Source organism: Homo sapiens, chromosome 7 (assembly GCF_000001405.40).
Source record: "Homo sapiens chromosome 7, GRCh38.p14 Primary Assembly".
Taxonomy (NCBI): Eukaryota; Metazoa; Chordata; class Mammalia; order Primates; family Hominidae; genus Homo; species Homo sapiens.
In genome coordinates this window covers 23532187-23552518 of record NC_000007.14, presented here as the reverse complement: position 1 = coordinate 23552518, position 20332 = coordinate 23532187, and the positions used below count along the sequence as shown (strand labels likewise).

At 44.9% G+C, this 20332-nt stretch overlaps 5 annotated features.

The window, feature by feature from the left end:
• Positions 7505 to 7554: an enhancer, noted in NCBI's record as "active region_25737". NCBI's record gives its function as "activates an Ori minimal core promoter by ATAC-STARR-seq in GM12878 lymphoblastoid cells {active_cell/tissue: GM12878}" and the evidence as "EXISTENCE:reporter gene assay evidence [ECO:0000049][PMID:35858748]".
• Positions 12615 to 12804: an enhancer, noted in NCBI's record as "active region_25736". NCBI's record gives its function as "activates an Ori minimal core promoter by ATAC-STARR-seq in GM12878 lymphoblastoid cells {active_cell/tissue: GM12878}" and the evidence as "EXISTENCE:reporter gene assay evidence [ECO:0000049][PMID:35858748]".
• Positions 19300 to 19799: an enhancer, noted in NCBI's record as "H3K4me1 hESC enhancer chr7:23572339-23572838 (GRCh37/hg19 assembly coordinates)". NCBI's record gives its function as "activates a minimal SCP1, AML or CMV promoter by ChIP-STARR-seq in primed H9 embryonic stem cells {active_cell/tissue: H9 hESC(primed)}" and the evidence as "EXISTENCE:reporter gene assay evidence [ECO:0000049][PMID:30033119]".
• Positions 19800 to 20301: an enhancer, noted in NCBI's record as "H3K4me1 hESC enhancer chr7:23571837-23572338 (GRCh37/hg19 assembly coordinates)". NCBI's record gives its function as "activates a minimal SCP1, AML or CMV promoter by ChIP-STARR-seq in primed H9 embryonic stem cells {active_cell/tissue: H9 hESC(primed)}" and the evidence as "EXISTENCE:reporter gene assay evidence [ECO:0000049][PMID:30033119]".
• Positions 20159 to 20278: an enhancer, noted in NCBI's record as "active region_25735". NCBI's record gives its function as "activates an Ori minimal core promoter by ATAC-STARR-seq in GM12878 lymphoblastoid cells {active_cell/tissue: GM12878}" and the evidence as "EXISTENCE:reporter gene assay evidence [ECO:0000049][PMID:35858748]".

Genomic DNA, 20332 nt, shown 5'->3' with positions numbered 1-20332 from the left:
TCATAGTTCACTGAAGCCTTGAACTCCTGGACTCAAGTGATCCTCCCATCTCAGTCTCCTGAGTAGATGGGACTACAGGTGTGTGCCACCAAGCCCAGATAATTGTTTAAAACTTTTTTAAGAAATGAGGATCTTGCTATGTTGTCCAGGCTGGCCTGGGACACCTGGCCTAAAGTGATCCTCTCATCTCAGCCTCCCAAATAGCTGGGATTACAGGTGCAAGTCACCCACACCGAGCTCTCTGAATTTTTAAAAATCTGAATGTTTTTGTAATCCTCAAGACATAGCTGGCTATTCCTATTATAAAAAATTATATACAAAAATGAGCCAGGCATGGTGGCACGCGCCTATAGTCCCAGCTACTTGGGAGGCTGAGGCAGGAGAATCGCTTGAACCCGGGAGGCAGAGGTTGCAGTAAGCCAGGATCATGCCACTGGCCTGGGTGACAGACCAAGACTCTGTCTCGAAAAAAAAAAATTATGACGGCTGTAGAATAATTTTCTCCCTATGTTCCTGTCACTTTTACTTCAGTAAATTTCAGTTTTTGGTTTTGGGATTTTTTGGTTTGGTTTTTTGTTTTTTGTTTTTTTTTGAGACGGAGTCTTGCCCTGTCACCCAGGCTGGAGTGCATTGGTAGGATCTCGGCTCACTGCAACCTCCGCCTCCTGGGTTCAAGCAATTCTCCTGCCTCAGCCTCCCAAGTAGCTGGGACTACAGGCACACACCACCACATCTGGCTAATTTTTGTATTTTTAGTAGAGATGGGGTTTCACCCTTCTGGTCAGGCTGGTCTCGAACTCCTGACCTCAGGCGATCCACCCACCTCAGCCTCCCAAAATGCTGGGATTATAGGTGTGAGCCACCACGCCCAGCCACGAATTTCAATTTTAAAGTACATTCATCTTTCTGTGTTTCTCACTAGTGAAGACGTCATTCAGTGCTGTGGGAGCCCCTCAGAAAAACCCTTTGGAGGCTGCGCATTGTGGCTCATGCCTGTAACCCCAGCACTTTGGGAGGCCGAGGTGGGCGGATCACGAGGTCAGGAGTTCAAGACCAGCCTGGCCAACATGGTGAAACCCTGTCTCTACTAAAGATACAAAAAATTAGCCGGGCATGGTGGTGGATGCCTGTAATCCCAGCTACTTGGGAGGCTGAGGCAGGAGAATCGCTTGAACCTGAGAGGCAGAGGTTGCAGTGAGCTGAGATCCCACCAATGCATTCCAGCCAAGGCAACAGGGCGAGACTCCATCGCGAAAAAAAAAAAAATTATGACGGCTGTAGAATCATTTTCTCCCTATGTTCCTGTCCCTTTTACTTCAGTGAATTTCAGTTTTAAAGAATATGCATCTTTCTGTGTTTGCCACTAATGAAGACGTTAATTCAGTGCTGTGGGAGTCCCTCAGAAAAACCCTTTGGAGGCCAGGCACCCTGGCTCACGCCTGTAATCCCAGAACTTTGGGATGCCAACCAAGAGGATCACTTGAGCCCAGGAGTACAAGACCAGCCCTGGCAATATAATGAGACCTAGTCTCTATAAAAGACTTAACAATTGGCTGGGCACGTTGGCTCATGCCTGTAATCCCAGCACTTTAGCAGGCCAAGGCAGGTAGATCACCTGAGGTCAGGAGTTCAACACTAGCCTGACCAACATGGTGAAACCCTGTCTCTACTAAAAATACAAAATTAGCCAGGTGTGGTGGCTGGTGCCTGTAATCCCAGCTACTCGGGAGGCTGAAGTAGGAGAATCACTTGAACCCGGGAGGCAGAGGTTGCAGTGAGCTGAGATTGCTCCATTGCACTTAGCCTGGGTGACAGAGCAAAACCCCATCTTAAAAAAAAAAAAAGGAAAGACTTAAAAATTATCCAAGTGTGGCAGGGTGTGGTGGGAGGATTGCTTGAGGCCAGAAGTTTGAAACCATCCTGGGCAACAAAGTAAGACACCATCTCTATTAAAAAAGAGAAATTTTGGCTGGGTGCAGTGGCTCACACCTGTAATCCCAACACTTTGGGAGGCTGTGAAGGGCGGATTACCTGAGGCCAGGAGTTCAAGACCAGCCTGGCCAACATGGTGAAACCCCGTCTCTACTAAAATACAAAAATTAGCCGGGCGTAGTGGCGGGCACCTGTAAATCCCAGCTACTTGGGAGGCTGAGGCAGGAGAATTGCGAGGCAGAGGCTGCAGTGAGCCGAGATCGTGCCACTGCACTCCTCTTGTTGCCTGGGCAACAGAGCAAGACTACGTCTCAAAACATGAGAGAGAGAGAGAAATTTCGAAGAAGAAGAAGGAGGAGGAGGAGGAGGAGGCAGAGGAGGAGGAGGAGGCTGGGCACAGTGGCTCACGCCTGTAATCCCAGCACTTTGGCAGGCCGAGACCAGTGGATCACGAGGTCAGGAAATCGAGACCATCCTGGCCAACATGGTGAAACCCTGTCTGTACTAAAAATACAAAAATTAGCCACGCGTGGTGGCATGTGCCTGTAGTCCCAACTACTCAGGAGGCTGAGGCAGGAGAATAGCTTGAACCCGGGAGGCAGAGGTTGCAGTGAGCTGAGATCATGCCACTCCACTCCAGCCTGGGTGACAGATCAAGACTCCATCTAAAAAATAATAATAATAAAGAAAAAGAAGGAGGCCGGGTATGGTGGCTCACACCTGTAATCCCAGCACTTTGGGAGGGCAAGGTGGGAGTATCCCTTGAGCCCAGGAGTTCAAGACCAGCCTGGGCAACATGGCAAAACCCTGTCTCTACCAAAAATTCAAAAGAAATTAGCTGGGTATGGTGGTGCGCACCTGTAAGTCCCAGCTACTTGAAAGAATGAGGCAGGAGGATTCTTTGAGCCCAGGTGTTCAAGGCTACAGTGAGCTATGATCACACCACTGCATGCCAGTCCAGGTGAAAGAGTGGGACCCTGTCTCTATTTACAAAATTAAGTTGTGACTAAATGTTGCCATGAACTCACAAGTTCTATTTTTGGAAAAGTTATGAAAGGAAGACAAACCCCTCTCCCTGCTTCTGCCAACCTTTGCTGAACATTAGCCCAGCTGTCTCCAGAGGTGCCGTGCCTGTGCCGTGGGCAAAACCCATCAGGGACCACTTGCAGCCAGCTCTGAGCTCAGAGCCATGAAGACTACGTAGGAGCTTGAAAACGTGATGGGTAATGTCTGGATATTGCTTTGCATTTTATTTGCTAGGGAATTAAGGGAACATGAATCCTGCTAATCATTCTCCATCACTTCCATTCTTCAGTCTCTATCTCATTGCAATTAAGACAATCAAAGTGCGTCCCTGCCCAAGAAGGCAGGCAAACACAATTTAGGTAGCCCTTAAATTTTTATTATGTAATATTAAAGGAAGTTAGGGTTACTAATTGTTCCAAAATGTATATTTTTCCACCTTGTATATAACTTTGATATTTTAGATGAAATTCCTAAAAACATAGCCTTATTTCGATGCCATAGATAAGTCCTTTATAACATTTTTTAATTTCAATAGCTTTAGGGGTACAAGTGGTTTCTGGTTACATGGATTAATTGTGGAATGGTGAAGTCTAGATGTTTAGTGCACAGGTCACCTGAATAGTGTACATTGTACCGAACAGATAGTTTTTCATCCCTCACGTGCCTTCAACGTCCCCCATCTGTCTCCAGTGTCCATCTGTATGATGCCATAGATAAATATTGCGATTAAAAATATGTGCTGCTGGCCGGGTGCAGTGGCTCATGCCTGTAATCCCAGCACTTTGGGAGGCTGAGATGGGTGGATCACCTAAGTTAAGGAGTTCAAGACCAGCCTGGCTAACATGGTGAAACCCAGTCTTTACTAAAAATACAAAAATTAGCCAGGCATGGTGGCAGGCACCTGTAATCCCAGCTACTCTGGAGGCTGAAGCAGGAGAATCGCTTGAACCCAGGAGGCAGAGGTTGCAGTGAGCTGAGATTGCACCAGTGCACTCCAGCCTGGGCAACAGAACAAGACTCTGTTTCAAAAAAAAAAAAAAAATGTTGCTATATTGTATGATTCCATTTACCTGAAATCCCCAGAACAGGCAATCCATAGAGACATTAAGTAGATTAGTACTTGTCAGAAGATGGGGGGAGGCTGGCAAGTGACTGAATGGGTATAAGGTTTCCTTTTGGTTTAATGTAAATATTCCAGAATTAGGTCATGGTGATGGTAGCACAACATTGTGAATATATTATACTAAAACGCACTGTATTTTACACTTTAAAATGGTTTAAGGTAACCCACTGATTTTTACACTTTAAAATGGTTTAAGGGCTGGCACAGTGACTCCAGCCTGCAATCCCAGCAGTTTGGGAGGCCAAGGCAGGCAGATTGCTTGGGCTCAGGAGTTGGAGACCAGCCTTGGCAACATGGCAAGGCCCCATCACTACAGAAAATACAAAAATTAGCCAGGCATGGTAGCACACACCTGTAGTCCCAGATAATCAGGAGGCTGAGGTGGGAGGATTGCTTGAACCCAGGAGGCGGAGGTTGCGGTGAGCCGAGATCGTGCCACTGTACTCCAGCCTGGGTGATGGAGTCAGATCATGTCAAAAAAGAAAGAAAAGAAAAGAAAAGGCAAGAAGGAAGGAAGGAAGGAAGGAAAGGAGGGAGGGAGGGAGGAAGGAAGGGAGGGAAGGAGGGAAAGACAAAGAAAAGAAAGAAAGAAAGAAAGAGAGAAAGAGAGAGAGAGAAAGAAAGAAAAGGAAGCAAGCAAGCAGGCAGAAAGCAAGGAAGCAGACAGGCTTAAAAGTGATTTGTATGTTATATGAGTTTTTTGTTTTGTTTTGCTTTTTGTCTTTTTGTTTGTTGTTTTGTTTTGTTTTTGTTTTTTGTTTTTTTGAGACATGGTCTCGCTCTCGCCCAGGCTGGAATGCAGTGGCACAGCTCACTGCAGCCTCGACCTCCTGAGCTCAAGTGATCCTCCCACCTCAGCCTCCCAAGTAGCTGGGACCATAGGTGCTCACCACCACGCGTAGATTTTTTTTTTTTTGAGACAAGGTCTCCCCATGTTGCCCAGGCTCCAGGGCTCAAGCGATTCTCCTCTCTCAGGCTTCCAAGGTGCTGGGATTACAGGCGTGAGCCACTGCCCCCTGCCTTGTGATTTTTATTATCTGTTATGCGCCAATATTTTAAATTTAGTATTGTCAAATGTAAGGGAAAATAGAAAGTATCAACTTATATAAATCTGCATAATAATGATGTTAAAAAATGACAAGTTGGCCAAAAGGAGAAATAAAGTGGAAAATGTGTAAGTTTGGGGCACCCATCTGCATCTGGAGACCTCTGTAGCCTGGATCACCGACCTTAAATTTCCAGCATGCTCATACTGCCACCTGGTGGCTGTAGACATTCAAAACAGGCAGCGTCCTGCATTTAGGACTTGTTTCCGTTTCTCACCAATTTCTTTTTCTCTCCAAGCTTGCCCTCTTCTGGTTACAAATGATATGCAAAATAAATTCCTTGACAAGGTTTGAAAACCCAAGTGGTTCAGTGTAGTAAGATCTACTAAGCTACCAAACAGCAACATAGGCTACTCCGCGCACACCGCGTATGGGGTAGCCCTGCTCCGCAAGGGACAGCAAAAAAATAAAAACCAAAAACAGAAACAAAAAGAAAAATAACCTAGCAATATTTTAAATTAAATAAGTGGCAAAGGTAGAATTTCAGGCACACCATTCATTTCTTTTTCTTTCTTTCTTTCTTTTTTTATTTTGAGACGGAGTGTCACTCTGTTGCCCAGGTTGGCGTGCAGTGGCACAATTTCTGCTCACTGCAACCCCCACCTCCGAGGTTCAGGTGATTCTCCTGCCTCAGCCTCCCAAGCATCTGGGATTACAGGTGTGAGCCACCACACCCAGCTAATTTTTGTATTTTTATTAGAGATGGGGTTTCCCCATGTTGGCCAGGCTGGTCTCAAACCCCTGACCTCAAGTGATCCGCCCACCTCGGCCTCCCAAAGTGCTGGGATTACAGGTGTGAGCCACTGTCCTGGGCCTGTTTTTTCAAATAAATATGAGCCTGCTTTGTGCCAGGCACTGTTCCAAATCCTAGGAATATAGCAGAAAATAAAACCAATAAAAATCTTTGCCTTCATGGAGCTTACATTCTTGCCGTGTAGGGCAGAACAGTAAAAATGAATGAACCAGCCAACACCTTGGCTCATACCTGTAGTCCTAGCACTTTGAGAGGCCAAGGCGGGCGGATCACCTGAGGTCAGGAGTTCCAGACCAGCCTGGCCAACATGGCGAAACTGCTTCTCTACTAAAAATACAAAAATTAGCCAGGCATGGTGGTGCAGGCCTATAGTCCCAGCCACTCAGGAGGCTGAGGTGGGAAGATCACTTGAATCTGGGAGGCAGAGGCTGCAATGAACTGAGATCATGCCACTGCACTCCAGCCTGGGCAACAGAGTGAGACTCTGTCTCAAAAACAAAACAAAACAAAACAAAAAAACAGTAATCCAGAGTTACACATATCAACATGAATGCATCTCATAACCTAAATGCTGTGGAGGGAAAGTTATATCAGAAAACATACTATAGTAAACCAGGTATATAAAATGTTTAAATGTGCAAAGCAACATTTTATATATGTGTACATATATACATACATATATATACATACACACACATACATAGATTGCTTAAGGTATATCCCATGAATACACAAGAGTTAAATGTTTAACAACTAGCTTTCTGAAAGAAAGAGGAAAAGAACACTAATTTGTAGATTTGTTGATTTTCATAGTATAAATACTATGCAGTTGATTGATGGATTGGTTGTCCTAATGACATCATCAGACATTATCACTCACTACCTAATGAGATCAAAAATTTGTTGAAATAAACCTACTATAGGGAGTGGGCTAAAATGATAGGATGTAGTGCTCAGAAAGTGGAATTCAGATGATGGCAATTATGGCAATGTAGGTGAGGAAGTGACTGTGGTGGAGAGTCGTACTCCCTGCAGGAGTGGAATACAAGGAACTGAGAGTCCAAGATGTTGGAAGGATCATCTGTGTGGATGATGAAGTCACCAAGGTTTAAGATGGTTTTAGTGTTGGAGAGAATGACAATGAAAGGAGTGAAAATCTGTAGATGACTGCAGTAAGGAGAGGTAGTGGGTGATAATGTCTGATGATGTAAAATTCAAAGTTAAGCTGGGCTTTTTTAAGGATTTGGGGAGGGAGAATTGTTTGCAAGCAGCAATAAGAAAGGAAAAAGACTCCCACTCCGCCTCCAAACCCAGTGGTATGAGAAAACACAGATGATCTGAGAGGGCTAAAGAGGAAGTAGTGCCTACAGAAAAGAGTCAGGGTTTCTCAATTTGGCCATTGCCATCTGGGTCTGATAATCCTTTGCTGTGAGGGGCCATCCTGTACATTGTCCTTGTAAGGTGTTTAACAGCATCCCTGGCCTCTACCCACTAGATGTCAGTAGCACCATCTCCAGTTGTGACAGCTAAAAATACCTCCAAACGTTGCCAAATGTCCTCTGGGGAGGTAGGAAAAATTGCTTCCAGGTGAGAATCTCTGAGCTACAGCAAGGTGAATGAACTATTTAAAGAGGAGATAGAGGACACCAGGGGGGTTTGCTGATGATTAACCACGAGTCTCAGTAAAGTGGAAAAGTTGAGAATAAATTAAGCAGAGAGGTCTTTTCTACACTCCCCAGATGGTATCATTTTGGCGACTGACAGACCAAAGTCAGTCCTACCAAGGTGTTTAAAGATACTGTGAATTTTCTCTCTGCTCTGCAAGGGTACCTCTGCTCCTGAAGTTGCTTTTTTTTTCTTTCCTTTTTTTAGATTCCACATATAAGTAGTGAGATCATGCAGTACTTTTCTTTATGTATCTGGCTTATTTCACTTAATATAGTGCCCTCTAGTTTCATCTGTGTTGTGGCAAATGGCAGGATCTCCTTTTCTATAGCTGAATAGTATTCCACTGTGTGTGTGTGTGTGTGTGTGTGTGTGTGTGTGTGTCTATCTCACAGTTTCAGTTTCTTTATCCATTCATCTATTGATGGACACCTAGGTGGTTTCCAAATCTTGGCTTTTTTTTTTTTTTGAGATGGAGTTTTTTATTGTCACTCAGGCTGGAGTGCAATGGCACTATCTCAGTTCACTGCAACCTCCACCTCCCAGGTTCAACCAATTCTCCTGCCTCAGCCTCCTGAGTAGCTGGGATTACAGGCGCCCACCACCACACCTGGCTGTTTTTTTTTTTTTTTTTTATATTTTTAATAGAGACAGGGTTTCACCATGTTGTCCAGGCTGGTCTCGAACTCCTGATCTCAGGTGATCCACCCGCCTTAACCTCCCAAAGTGCTGGAATTACAGGCGTGAGCCACCACACCGGGCCTGGCTATTGTTAATAGTACTGCAGTGAACATGGCAATGAACATGGGAATGCAGATATCTTTACTAGGTGGTGATTTCATTTCCTTTGGCTATGTATACCCAGCAAAGGGATTGCTGGGCTATCTGGTAATTCTATTTTTAATTTCTTTAGAAGTTTCCATACTGGCTGGGTGCAGTGGCTCATGCCTGTAATCCCAGCACTTTGGGAGGCCAAGGCAGGCGGATCACCTGAGGTCAGGAGGTCAAAACCAGTCTGGCCAACATGGTGAAATCCTGTCTCTACTAAAAAACACAAAAATTAGCAGGGCGTGGTGGCAGGTGCCTGTAATCCCAGCTACTCCGGAGGCTGAGGCAGGAGAATCGCTTGAACCCAGGAGGCGGAGGTTGCAGTGAGCTGAGAGTGCACCACTGCACTCCAGCCTGGGCAACTGAGTAAGACCCAAAAGGCCATGCATTGGAAGCTTCTGGATAGCGTGTGAAGGTTCCTGGAGGGTGGTGCACCTGGAGAGGGCATAGAAGCTTCTAGCCCCTTCCCACATGTCCTATCCTATGTATCTTGTCATCTGTATCCTTTGTAATATCCTTTATAATAAACTGGTAAATGGGACCAGCTGCTAAGGTTGCAGTGAGCCGAGATCACGCCACTGCACTCCAGCCTGGACTACAAAGCGAGACCCTGTCTCAAAACAAAAACAAAATGTGGCCTTTTTTTTTTTTAACTTGAAGTTCTTGGCTCAAGCTTCATTGCTCCTTCAATTGTTCCTAATTTTTTAGAACTCCATCCTCCTAGATAGGGCCAGAGTCCTAGTTGTACAGGTGGGAGGAGCAGGTGCTACGCCCATCGTACTAACTGGTGGTGAGGCAGCACAATATGAAGTGGCCCACATTGTGTTTGGAGATGAAACTAGAGGGCCCTTGCTTATCCAGCTGGTCCCATTTACCAGCTTATTATAAAGGATATTACAGAGGATACAGATGACAAGATACATAGGATAAGACATGTGAGAAGGAGCTGGAAGCTTCTATGCCCTCTCCAGGTGCACCACCCTCCAGGAACCTTCACGCACTATCCAGAAGCTCCCAATGTATAGCCTTTTGTGTCTGGCTTCCTTCGCTTGGCATAATGTTTTCAAGGTTCATCCATGATGGACCATGTAACAGTATTTCATTCCTTTTTATGACTAAATAGTATTTCATTGTATGGACATACCACAGTTTTTTATCCATGCATCAACTGATAAACATTTGAAATATTTCAACTTTTTGGCTATCATGAACAATGCTGCTATATACATTTGCATACAAGTTTTCATGTGAACAAACATATGTTTCCCTTCGGTATATACCTAGGAATGGGATTGCTGGGTCATACAGTAATTCTCTGTTTAAGTTTTTGAGGAACTGCCCATCTGCTTTCCAGAGAAGGTGCACCAGTTTACATTCCCACTAGCAGTGTATGAAGATTCCAATTTCTCCATATCCTTTTCAATACCTGTCATTGATTGTTCTTTTTTCAACGTTATAGTAGCCATCTTAGTAGGTGTAAAGTGGTATCTCATTGTGGTTTTAATTTGCATTTCTCTAAGACTCATGGTGTTGAGCATCTTTTCATATGTTCATTTGCCATTTATATATCATCTTGCTTTTTTTTTTTTTTTAGAGACAGGGTCTCCTTCTGTCACCCAGGCTGGAGTGCAGTGCTGCCACTGTAGCTCACTGCAGCCTCCAATTCCTGGGCCCAAGCCATCCCCCTACCTCAGCCTCCCACAGTAGCTAGGATTATAGACCCACACCAACATACCCAGCTAATTACAAAAATATATATATATATAATTCTAGCACTTTGGGAGGCTGAGGTGGGAGGATTGCTTGAGGCCAGGAGTTGTAGGCTGCAGTGGGCTATGAGGTGACAGAGCAAGCCCCTGTGCCCCCAAAACACCAAAAAACAAAAACAAAACAAGAAACTAAGAAAAAAAAATTTTACAGCAACAAAAGCTAACAATTTTTTAAAATTAAATAAAAAATGAAAAAAAAAACCAACAATTAGAAAATGAACAAAGGACTTCAGTAGATTTCTCCCTACGGAAGAGATATAGCCTGGGTATGGTGGCTCATGACTGTAATCACAGCACTTTGGGAGGCGAAGATAGGAGGATCACTTCAGGCCAGAAGTTTGAGATTAGCCTGAGAAATATAGTAAGACCCTGTCTCTATAAAAAATAAAATAAATAATAATATAATAAATAATTAATAAGTAAATTTTTTAATAGAGAAGGGGTCTCACTATGTTGCCCAGGCTTGTTTTTGCTTTTCTTTTTTTGAGACGGAATCTTGCTCTGTCGCCCAGGCTGGAGTGCAGTGGCGCGATCAAGGCTCACTGCAGTCTCCGCCTCCCGGGTTCACGCCATTCTCCTGCTTCAGCCTCCTGAGTAGCTGGGACTACAGGTGCCCGCCACCATGCCCGGCTAATTTTTGTGTATTTTTAGTAGAGACAGGGTTTCACCATGTTAGCCAGGATGGTCTCGATCTCCTGACGTTGTGATCTGCCCGCCTCAGCCTCCCAAAGTGCTGGGATTACAGGCGTGAGCCACTGCGCCAAGCCGCTTGTTTTTTCTTAAACTGTAAGCGTTATTTATTTACTCTAAATACTAGACCCTTATTAGACATATGATTTCTAAATATTTCTCCTTTTCAGTGGATTGTTTTTTCTCTCTGTTGATATTATCCTTTAATGCACAAAAGTTGTAAATTTTGATGTTCTAATTTACCTATCTTCTCTTTGAATGTGGTTGATCTTTCTCTCTTTCAGTGTTGAGATCTAGTTCCTAAGAACTGGCTAAATGCTATGGGTTAATTTTGTTGTGTTCTACTCTGAGTGCTTGAGGTGATAAAATGTTTGTTGGTTGGTTGTTTTTTTTCTTTTAAGACAGTGTCTTGCTCTGTCACCCAGGCTGAAGTGCAGTGGCACAAATACTGCTCACTGCAGCCTTGACCTCCTGTGCTCAAGTGATCCTTCTGCCTCAGCCTCCTGTGTAGTGGGGACACAGGCATGCACCACCACACCTAGCTAATTTTTTAAATTTTTTAGAGACAGGGTCCCACTTTGTTGCCCAGGTCTCAAACTCCTGGGCTCAAGCAGTCCTCCCACCTCAGCTTTGCAAAGTGCTGAGATTACAGGCTTGAGGTACTGGGGAGGCCACAAAATATATTTTTGGCCGAGCACAACAGCTCATGCCTGTAATCTCAGCACTTTGAGAGGCCGAGGCCAGGGGTGGGTCACTAGAGGTCAGGAGTTTGACACCAGCCTGGCCAACATGGCGAAACCCTGTCTCTACCAAAAATACAAACATTAGTTGGGCATGGTGGCAGGCGCCTGTAATCCCAGCTACTCGGGAGGCTGAGGCACGAGAATAACTTGAACCCAGGAGGAGAAGTTGCAGTTAGCAGAGACTGTGCCACTGCACTCCAGCCTGGGAGACAGAGCCAGACTCTGTCTCAAAAAATAACAGTAATAATATTAAAAAGAAGAGATAGCTCATGCCTATAACCCTAGTGCTTTGGGCATTCCCACATCCACCACTTTGGGTTTAATAAATTTGCTGGAGCAGCTCACAAAACTCAAAGAAACATTACAAAATATATGGTATGGGGGAAGGGGTGTGGAGCTTCCATGCCCTCCCTGGGCAAGCCACCCTCCAGGAACCTCCAAGTATTAGCTATCTGAAAACTCTGTGAACCCAGTCCTCCTGGGTTTTTATGGACAATTATTTGGAAATGTGATTGGCCTCTCTGGAATGAGGGTCTTATGACCCACAATCAGAAAGGCAGGGGAATAGTATTGAGTCCTGCCTTGGGTCAAGTGAAAGGAGTAGAGGAGAAGGTCAAAGAGGCCTGAGGCCTGCAAGAAGCCTAACACACCTAACATTATAACAAAAGACTGTAACAAGGCCTATGGGGAGTTATCAGCCAGGAACCTGGACGAAAATGGGTACAAGAATATCATAACACCACAGTATGTAAGTGGAAAGGGACTCTAAGTGAAAATCCCTTTCAGTTATATCATCGAAAAGCTTCATATTCCACCTTTGGAGCTGTTTTACAAACACCTTATTCTGAAATTGGCAATTAAAGGAAATAATTAAGCATTTATCATTTCCAGTAGGAACTATATTTTGCATGTGATCCTAGCTAAAAGGCTGAGAAGCGATGGAACTGTATTTCAAAATAGTCAAATAACCTGTAGTTGATGGAGAAAGCTCTTTAAAAAGAAAAGAAAAGAAAAAAAAACACTATTGAGCAGAGAGAGGAAGTGGGCAAGAAACAAAACAAAGAAAAACGAAACTATTTACTAGAAGATTGCCAGCTGGTGAATATAGGGACAAGATAGAGTTGGAAAGTCCACATTTTGAATAGCATGGCTGATTCAGGCAAAGATTTTTCAATGGATGCCGAACCCACTGAATGGTTGATGGGCAAATGGATATTCAGGTGGTGTGGAGGTATCTCTCTGCTTGCTGGTCAAAAGGAAGAAATGCACATGTGCAGATGTGCACATGTTTAAAGCAAAAGCTCAAGCTGTATACGTTGAAAAAAAAAAAACTACCACTGTGAGACAATTACCTTCTTGGCTTGGCCTGGTGCATCGTGAAATCATTAATATAAACTGTTCAGTGTATCTGTTTTTACTTTCATGCAAGAGTTTGTACAATATCAGCACTTCAGTTCTTGGTTAAAACAAGTAATTTTTGAGTGACTGGAGACTAAACTTAGGTCTGCTCATTTGAGCTCTTTATCTGTAATGCCAGTGGCTTGCTGGGAGGCACAGGAGCCTAATGGTTAAGAGTGTTAATCTACCCAAGTTTAATCCCCAGTTCTGCTTTGTGCCAGCTGTCTGACTCACCTGGGCAAGTTGCTTTACTACTCTCCGCCTCAGCTTTAAAAATCTATAAAATGGCTGGGTGCGGTAGCTCATGCCTGTAATTCCAGCACTTTGGGAGGCTGAGGCGGGCAGATCACGAGATCAGGAGATCGAGACCATCCTGACTAGCACGGTGAAACCCCATCTCTCCTAAAAATACAAAACATTAGCCGGGCGTGGCCAGGCGTGGTGGCTCACGCCTGTAATCCCAGCACTTTGGGAGGCCAAGGCGGGCGGATCACGAGGTCAAGAGATCAAGACCATCCTGGCTAACACGGTGAAACCCCGTCTCTACTAAAAATACAAAAAATTAGCTGGGCGTGGTGGCGGGCGCCTGTAGTCCCAGCTACTCGGGAAGCTGAGGCAGGAGAATGGCATGAACCTAGGAGGCAGAGCTTTTGGTGAGCCGAGATCATGCCACTGCATTCCATCCTGGGCGACAGTGCAAGACTCTGTCTAAAAAAAAAAAAAAATAGCCAGGCGTGGTGGCAGGCACCTGTAGTCCCAGCTACTCGGGAGGCTGAGGCAGGAGCATGGTGTGAACCCGGGTGTCGGAGCTTGCAGTGAGCCATGATCACAGTGAACCACTGCACTCCAGCCTGGGCAACAGAGCAAGACTCCAACTCAAAAAAAAAAAAATCTATAAAATGGAGGCAATTGTGCCACTTGGTACACACCTGTAGTCCCAGCTACTTGGGAGGCTGAAGCAAGAGGATCAGTTGAGCCCAGGAGTTCCATGCTTCAGTTTGCTATGATTGCACCTGTGAATAGCCACCACACTCCAGACTGGGCAACATAGAAAGACCCCATCTCTAAATAAATAAATAAATGGAAAAAAAATGGAGGCAATAATATTATCTAATCTTTAGGTTGTTGTAATACATAAGACAAACTATTTAGAATACGTAGCCCAGGCCAGGGGCAGTGGCTCATGCCTGCAATCCCAGCACTTTGGGAGGCAGAGGCGGGTGGATCACCTGAGGTCAGGAGTTCAAGACCAGCCTGGCCAACATGGCGAAACCCCGTCTATACTAAAAATACAAAAATTAGCCAGGCGTGGTGGTGGGTGCCTGTAATCTGAGGCAGGAGAACCACCTGAACCCAGTAGGCCAAGGTTGCAGTGAGCTGAGATGGCGCCACTACACTCCACCCTCGGTGACAGAGCAAGACTCTGTCTCAAAATAAATAAATAAACAAACAAATAAAATAGCCCAGTGCCTGAAGCATGGTGAGGACTCAATGGTATTATTACTGCCACATGACTTTGGGTGGGCAACTTGTGACTTCTGCTTCTGTAAAACCAAGTAATTACATTATCTATAAGCTTGTTTCCATCTCTCTCTCTTTTTCTAATAGTTTTTTCAAATTTTTTATTTATATAGTTTTTGGGGAACAGGTGGTTTTTGGTTACTTGGATAAGTTCTTTAGTGGTGATTTCTGATATTTTTATGCATCCAATACCCGAGCAGTGTACACCGTACCCAATGTCCATCTCTCTCTCTGCATTGCATAAAGGTTTATGTCTTTATGTCATTGCATAAAGGTGCAAATGACTTTCTGTTTCTGAGTCTTTCTTTCTGCATATAAAATGAGGGAACTGGAGACACCTCCTATTTCTAATATTGCTCCTCATGCAGGATCCTCTCCTAAACTCCCAGTAAGACATGAATAAGGAGAGTTAGCCTCAAATACCCAAACACTCCTCACATGCCAAAAGTGAGAGATTGGGTTTTGGGAGAGGAAAGATACTTCACACACTCACATTTTCAATTTCTCCCAAGGAGCCAGGCACGGTTGCTCACACCTGTAATCCCAGCACTTTGGGAAGCCAAGGCAGGAGGATCACTTGAGCTCAGGAATTCAAGACCCAGCATGAGTAACATGGTGAGACCTCATCTCTGCTTAAAAAATTTTAAAAAAAAGCTGGGCATGGTGGCTCACACCTGTAATCCCAGCACTTTGGGAAGCCAAGGCAGGAGGATCACTTGAGCTCAGGAATTCAAGACCCGGCCTGAGTAACATGGTGAGACCTCATCTCTGCTTAAAAAATAAAAAAAAAAGTTGGGCATGGTGGCTCACGCCTGTAATCCCAGCACTTTGGGAGGCTGAGGTGGGCAGATCACCTGAGGTCAGGAGGTCGAGACCAGCCTGACCAACATAGAGAAACCCCGTTTCTACTAAAAGTACCAAAAAAATTAGCTGGGAGTTGTGGCGCATGCCTATAATTCCAGCTACTCAGGAGGCTGAGGCAGGAGAATTGCTTGAACCTGGGAGGTAGAGGTTGCAGTAAGCCGAGATCACCCCATTTCACTCCAGCCTGGGCAACAAGAGCAAAACTCCCTCTCAAAAAAAAAAAGAAAAAGAGAAAGAAAAAAAAATTAGGTGGGTGTGGTGGCACATGCCTGTAGTCTCAGCTACTCTGGAAGCTAAGGTGGGAGAATCAGCCTGGGCAACGGAGTGAGAACTTGTCTCGAAAATAAATAAAACAAAATAAAAAAGATTTTTAAAATGAATTGTGGCTATTAAGCAATGAGACTTACTTAAAAATATATAGGAAGGGGGACTTGCCCAATCAGACATAAAAATTTGAAAGCCTGGCTGGGCGTGGTGGCTCACGCCTGTAATCCCAGAACTTTGGGAGGCCGAGGTGGGTGGATCATGAAGTCAAGAGATCAAGACCAGCCTGACCAACATGGTGAAACCCTGTCTCTACTAAAAATACAAAAAATTAGCTGGGCATGGTGGTGAGTGCCTGTAGTCTCAGCTACTTGGGAGGCTAAGGCAGGAGGATCGCTTGAACCAGGGAGGCAGAGGTTGCAGTGAGTCAAGATTGTGCCACTGCACTCCAGCCTGCTGACAGAGCGAGACTCCATCTCAAACAATAAAAAAACAAACAAAAATTTGAAAGCCTCTATATTAAAACAGTGTGGCACTGGTGTATGACCAGGGAAACAGAAAACCCAGAAATAGACTCAACTCCGTAAGAAAATGTAGTGTATAACAAAGGTGACATCTAAAAAGCAAAGATGGGCTTTTTAATGCTGGGATCACTGGGTAGCCATTTGGAAAAGGTAAAATTAGATCTATAGTCCACATCATACATAAGAACAAATGCCAAATGGATCACGAATCTAAATGTAAAATATGAAGCTACATAACTACTAGAAGAAAACATAGTGAATTCCTCTTTAATCTCAGTATGGGAAAAGGCTAACTATGACTTAAAATCCAGGGGCAGCCGGGTGCACTGGCTCACACCTGTAATCCCAACACTTTGGGAGGCCGAGGCATGCGGATCACGAGGTCAGGAGTTTGAGACCAGCCTGACCAATACGGTGAAACCCCATCTCTACTAAAAATACAAAAATTAGCCGGACGTGGTGGTCCTCACCTGTAATCCCAGCTCAGGAGGCTGAGGCAGGAGAATCGCTTGAACCTGGAGGTGGAGGTTGCAGTGAGGCGAGATTGCGCCATTACACTCCAGCCTGGGCGACAGGGCAAGATTCCATTTCAAAAAAAAAAAAAAAATAGTGGCCAGGCACAGTGGCTCACGCCTGTAATCCCAGCACTTTGGGAGGCCAAGGTGGGTGGATCACCTGAAGTCAGGAGTTCAAGACCAGCCTGGCCAACATGGTGAAAACCCATCTCTACTAAAAAATACAAAAATTAGCTGGGTGTGGTGGTGCATGCCTGTAAGCCCAGCTACTTGGGAGGCGGAGGTTGCAGTGAGCCGAGAATGAGCCATTGCACTCCAGCCTGGGCAACAAGAGCAAAATTCAGTCTCAAAAAAAAAAAGTATGCTAATTTGGGAATCTTTTATTGCCATAGTAAAATTAATTAATTAAATTAAAAAATCAAAAAATAGTATGCAAAATATACCATAAGCAAAGTCAAATACAATTTACAAACTAGGAGAAAATATTTGCAACATAAAGCACAAATAAAAGGCTAATATTCCTAATATACAAGGAACTCATAAAACTTGAGGGACAAAGGATAAAAATCCAATAGAAAAATGGAAAATAGGCCGGGCACAGTGGCTCACACCTGTAATCCCAGCACTTTGGGAGGCCGAGGTGGGCGGATCACCTGAGGTCGGGAGTTCGAGACCAGCCGGACCAACCTGGAGAAACCCCGTCTCTACTAAAAATACAAAATTAGCCAGACGTGCTGGCGCATGCCTGTAATCCCAGCTACTCGAGAGGCTGAGGCAGGAGAATCGCTTTAACCCGGGAGGCGGAGGTTGCAGTGAGCTGAGATCGTGCCATTGCACTCCAGCCTGGGCAACAAGAGTGAAACTCCGTCTCGGAAAAAAAAAAAAAGAAAAATGGAAAATAGACAATTCCGAAAAAAGGACATTATATATATGTTTAAACATATCAAAAGTTTATAACTGAAATCTGGGACAATTCAAGCAACAAAATAAATAATGATAGCAATGGATTATAACTCATAAAGCAAATATCTCCTATCATCCCGGCACTTTGGGAGGCCGAGGTGGGTGGATCACTCGAGGCCAGGAGTTAGAGACTAGCCTGGCCAACATCAAAACCCCGTCTCTACAAAAAAATACAAAAATTAGCCGAGCACAGTGGCATGCACCTGTGGTCTCAGCTACTGGGGAGGCTAAGGCAGAATAATCTCTAGAGCCCGAGAGACAGAGGTTGCAGTGAGCCAAGACTGTGCCACTGTACTCCAGCCTGGGCACGGGAGTGAAACTCTGTCTCAAAAAAAAAGGCAAAGAAAAAAGAAACTACTCTTCTAGGCCCGGCCTGGTTCCTCAACACTTTGGGAGGCCTAGGCGGCAGGATCACTTGAGCCCAGGAGTTTGAGAGCAGCCTGGGCAACATGGCAAAACCTGGTCTCTACAATAATTTAAAAATTAGCTGGGCATGGTGTTGGGGGCCTGTAGTCCCAGCTATGTGAGAGGGTGTGGTGGGAGGATCGTTGGAGCCATGATTGTGCCACTGCACTCCAGCCTGGGTGACAGAGTCAGATTATGTCTCCAAAAAATAAATAAAAGGAAAAAAGGGTAGGGGGGAAGACTCTTAGTCCATAATAGTCTACCTTTCTCCCATCCTTGATTGTGAATTTAATCTGTTGGGGAATGTGGTTATTTGTCCTGTGGAAGTTGATTACTTCATCTCGGTGTTTTTATTTTTCCCTTTCTTGTATTTCCTGTAAACTGTTGGCTAGATCTAAGGTTTAATTAGATTTGAGTTCAATTTGAGGGATCAGGAATACTTCACAGGAGGAACTGGGTATTTTCTATTGCATCACATCATGAGGTATCTCGTATCTGGTTATCTCACTTTTAATGGTACTAAGATTGATCAGTGGTTCAAATGGTATCAACCTGGCTGGGCGTGGCAGCTCACGTCTGTAATCCCAGCACTTTGGGAGGCTGAGGCGGGCAGATCATCTGAAGTCACAAGTTCCAGCCCACGCTGGCCAACATGGTGAAACCCCATCTCTACGAAAAATACAAAAATTAGCCGGGTGTGGTGGCACGCACTGTAATCCCAGCTACTCGGGAAGCTGAGCCAGGAGAATCACTTGAACCCGGAGGTGGAGGTTGCAGTGAGCCGAGATCGCGCCACTGCACTCCAGCCTGGGTGACAGAGCAAGTCTCCGTCTCAATAATAATAATAATAATTTCTTTTGTAGAGATGGGGGCTCACCATGTTGACCAGGCTGGTTTCGAACTTCTGGCCTCAAGCGATCTTCCGCCTAGGGTCTCCAAAGTACTGGGATTACAGGCGTCAGCCACCACACCCAGCCAAGTTCAACATCTTTTCTAAGAGCCAGATGTCATTTAAGTTTATCCCTATCAATAACTGACATTCAAATGCTGAAATCTTGCCCCCAGTGGTAGCAATCTTCATAATAATGCCAGATGAACTTTCCTACCATAGAACTATAGTTGAAAGTCTATGTCAATCTTTTTACTACAAAGCACTGTAGGAAAAAAATTTAAGATGAAACTAATTTTTAAAGTTGCATTACACAAGTAAAACTCATCTCAGAGATTATTACTATGATTGGGAACCAAGTTGACAGATTTGGGAGGTCTTCACTGTGAAGCTTTATGGAAATATCTAAGTCAAAAAAACTAGTAGGGAGCTAAGCATTATAAAAAAAAAACTACACGGCTGTCTCTAGGAGGGGGAACTGGAGCAGGGACACGAGGCAAGGAGCAGCGGCTTTGCATCATAACCTCATCTGTGCATGTACTACGTCGACATTACACAGGGCAAATATGGAAGAAAAGTAATACAGTCAGCTGACAACGTGCCCCCCAAAAGCCTGTTATATATACACGATTCCAGCCGGGCGCGGTGGCTCAGGCCTGTAATCTCAGCACTTTGGGAGGCCGAGGCGAGCAGATCGCTTGAGTCCACAAATTCGAGACCAGCCTGGGCAGCATGTCAAAACCCCATCTCTGCAAAACACACAAAAATTAGCCGGGTGGGCCGGGTACGGTGGTTCACCCTTGCAATCTCAGCACTTTGAGAGGCCCAGGCGGGCAAATCACCTGAGGTCAGGAGTTTGAGACCAGCCTGTCCAACATGGTGAAACCCCCGTCTCTGCTAAAAATACAAAAATTAGCCGGGCGTGGTGGTGCATGCCTGTAATCCCAGCTACTGGGGAGGCTGAGGCAGGAGAATTGCTTGAACCTGCGAGGTGGAGGTTGCAATGAACCTAGATAGCGCCACTGCACTTCAGCCTGGGCAACAGAGTGAGACTCCGTCCCAAAAAAGAAAAAAATTAGCCGGGCGTGGTGGCGCGCGCGGGAGCCTGAGGTGGGAGGATCGTCTGAGCCCGGGAGTTTGAGGCTGTGGTGAGCAGTGATCGCTTCACTGCACTTCAGCTTGGGTGACAGAGCGAGACCCTGACTCAAAAAATAAACAAACATAAAAAAACGCTTCCAATGTTTTGTTCCCTTACATCAGAATCCACTTGGACAATATTTAAAGGGGCTAAGGTCATATAAGGCTCATCTGGCGACTGAAAAGTCTTCAAAGAGGTTGACGCGTCCGAGGTGA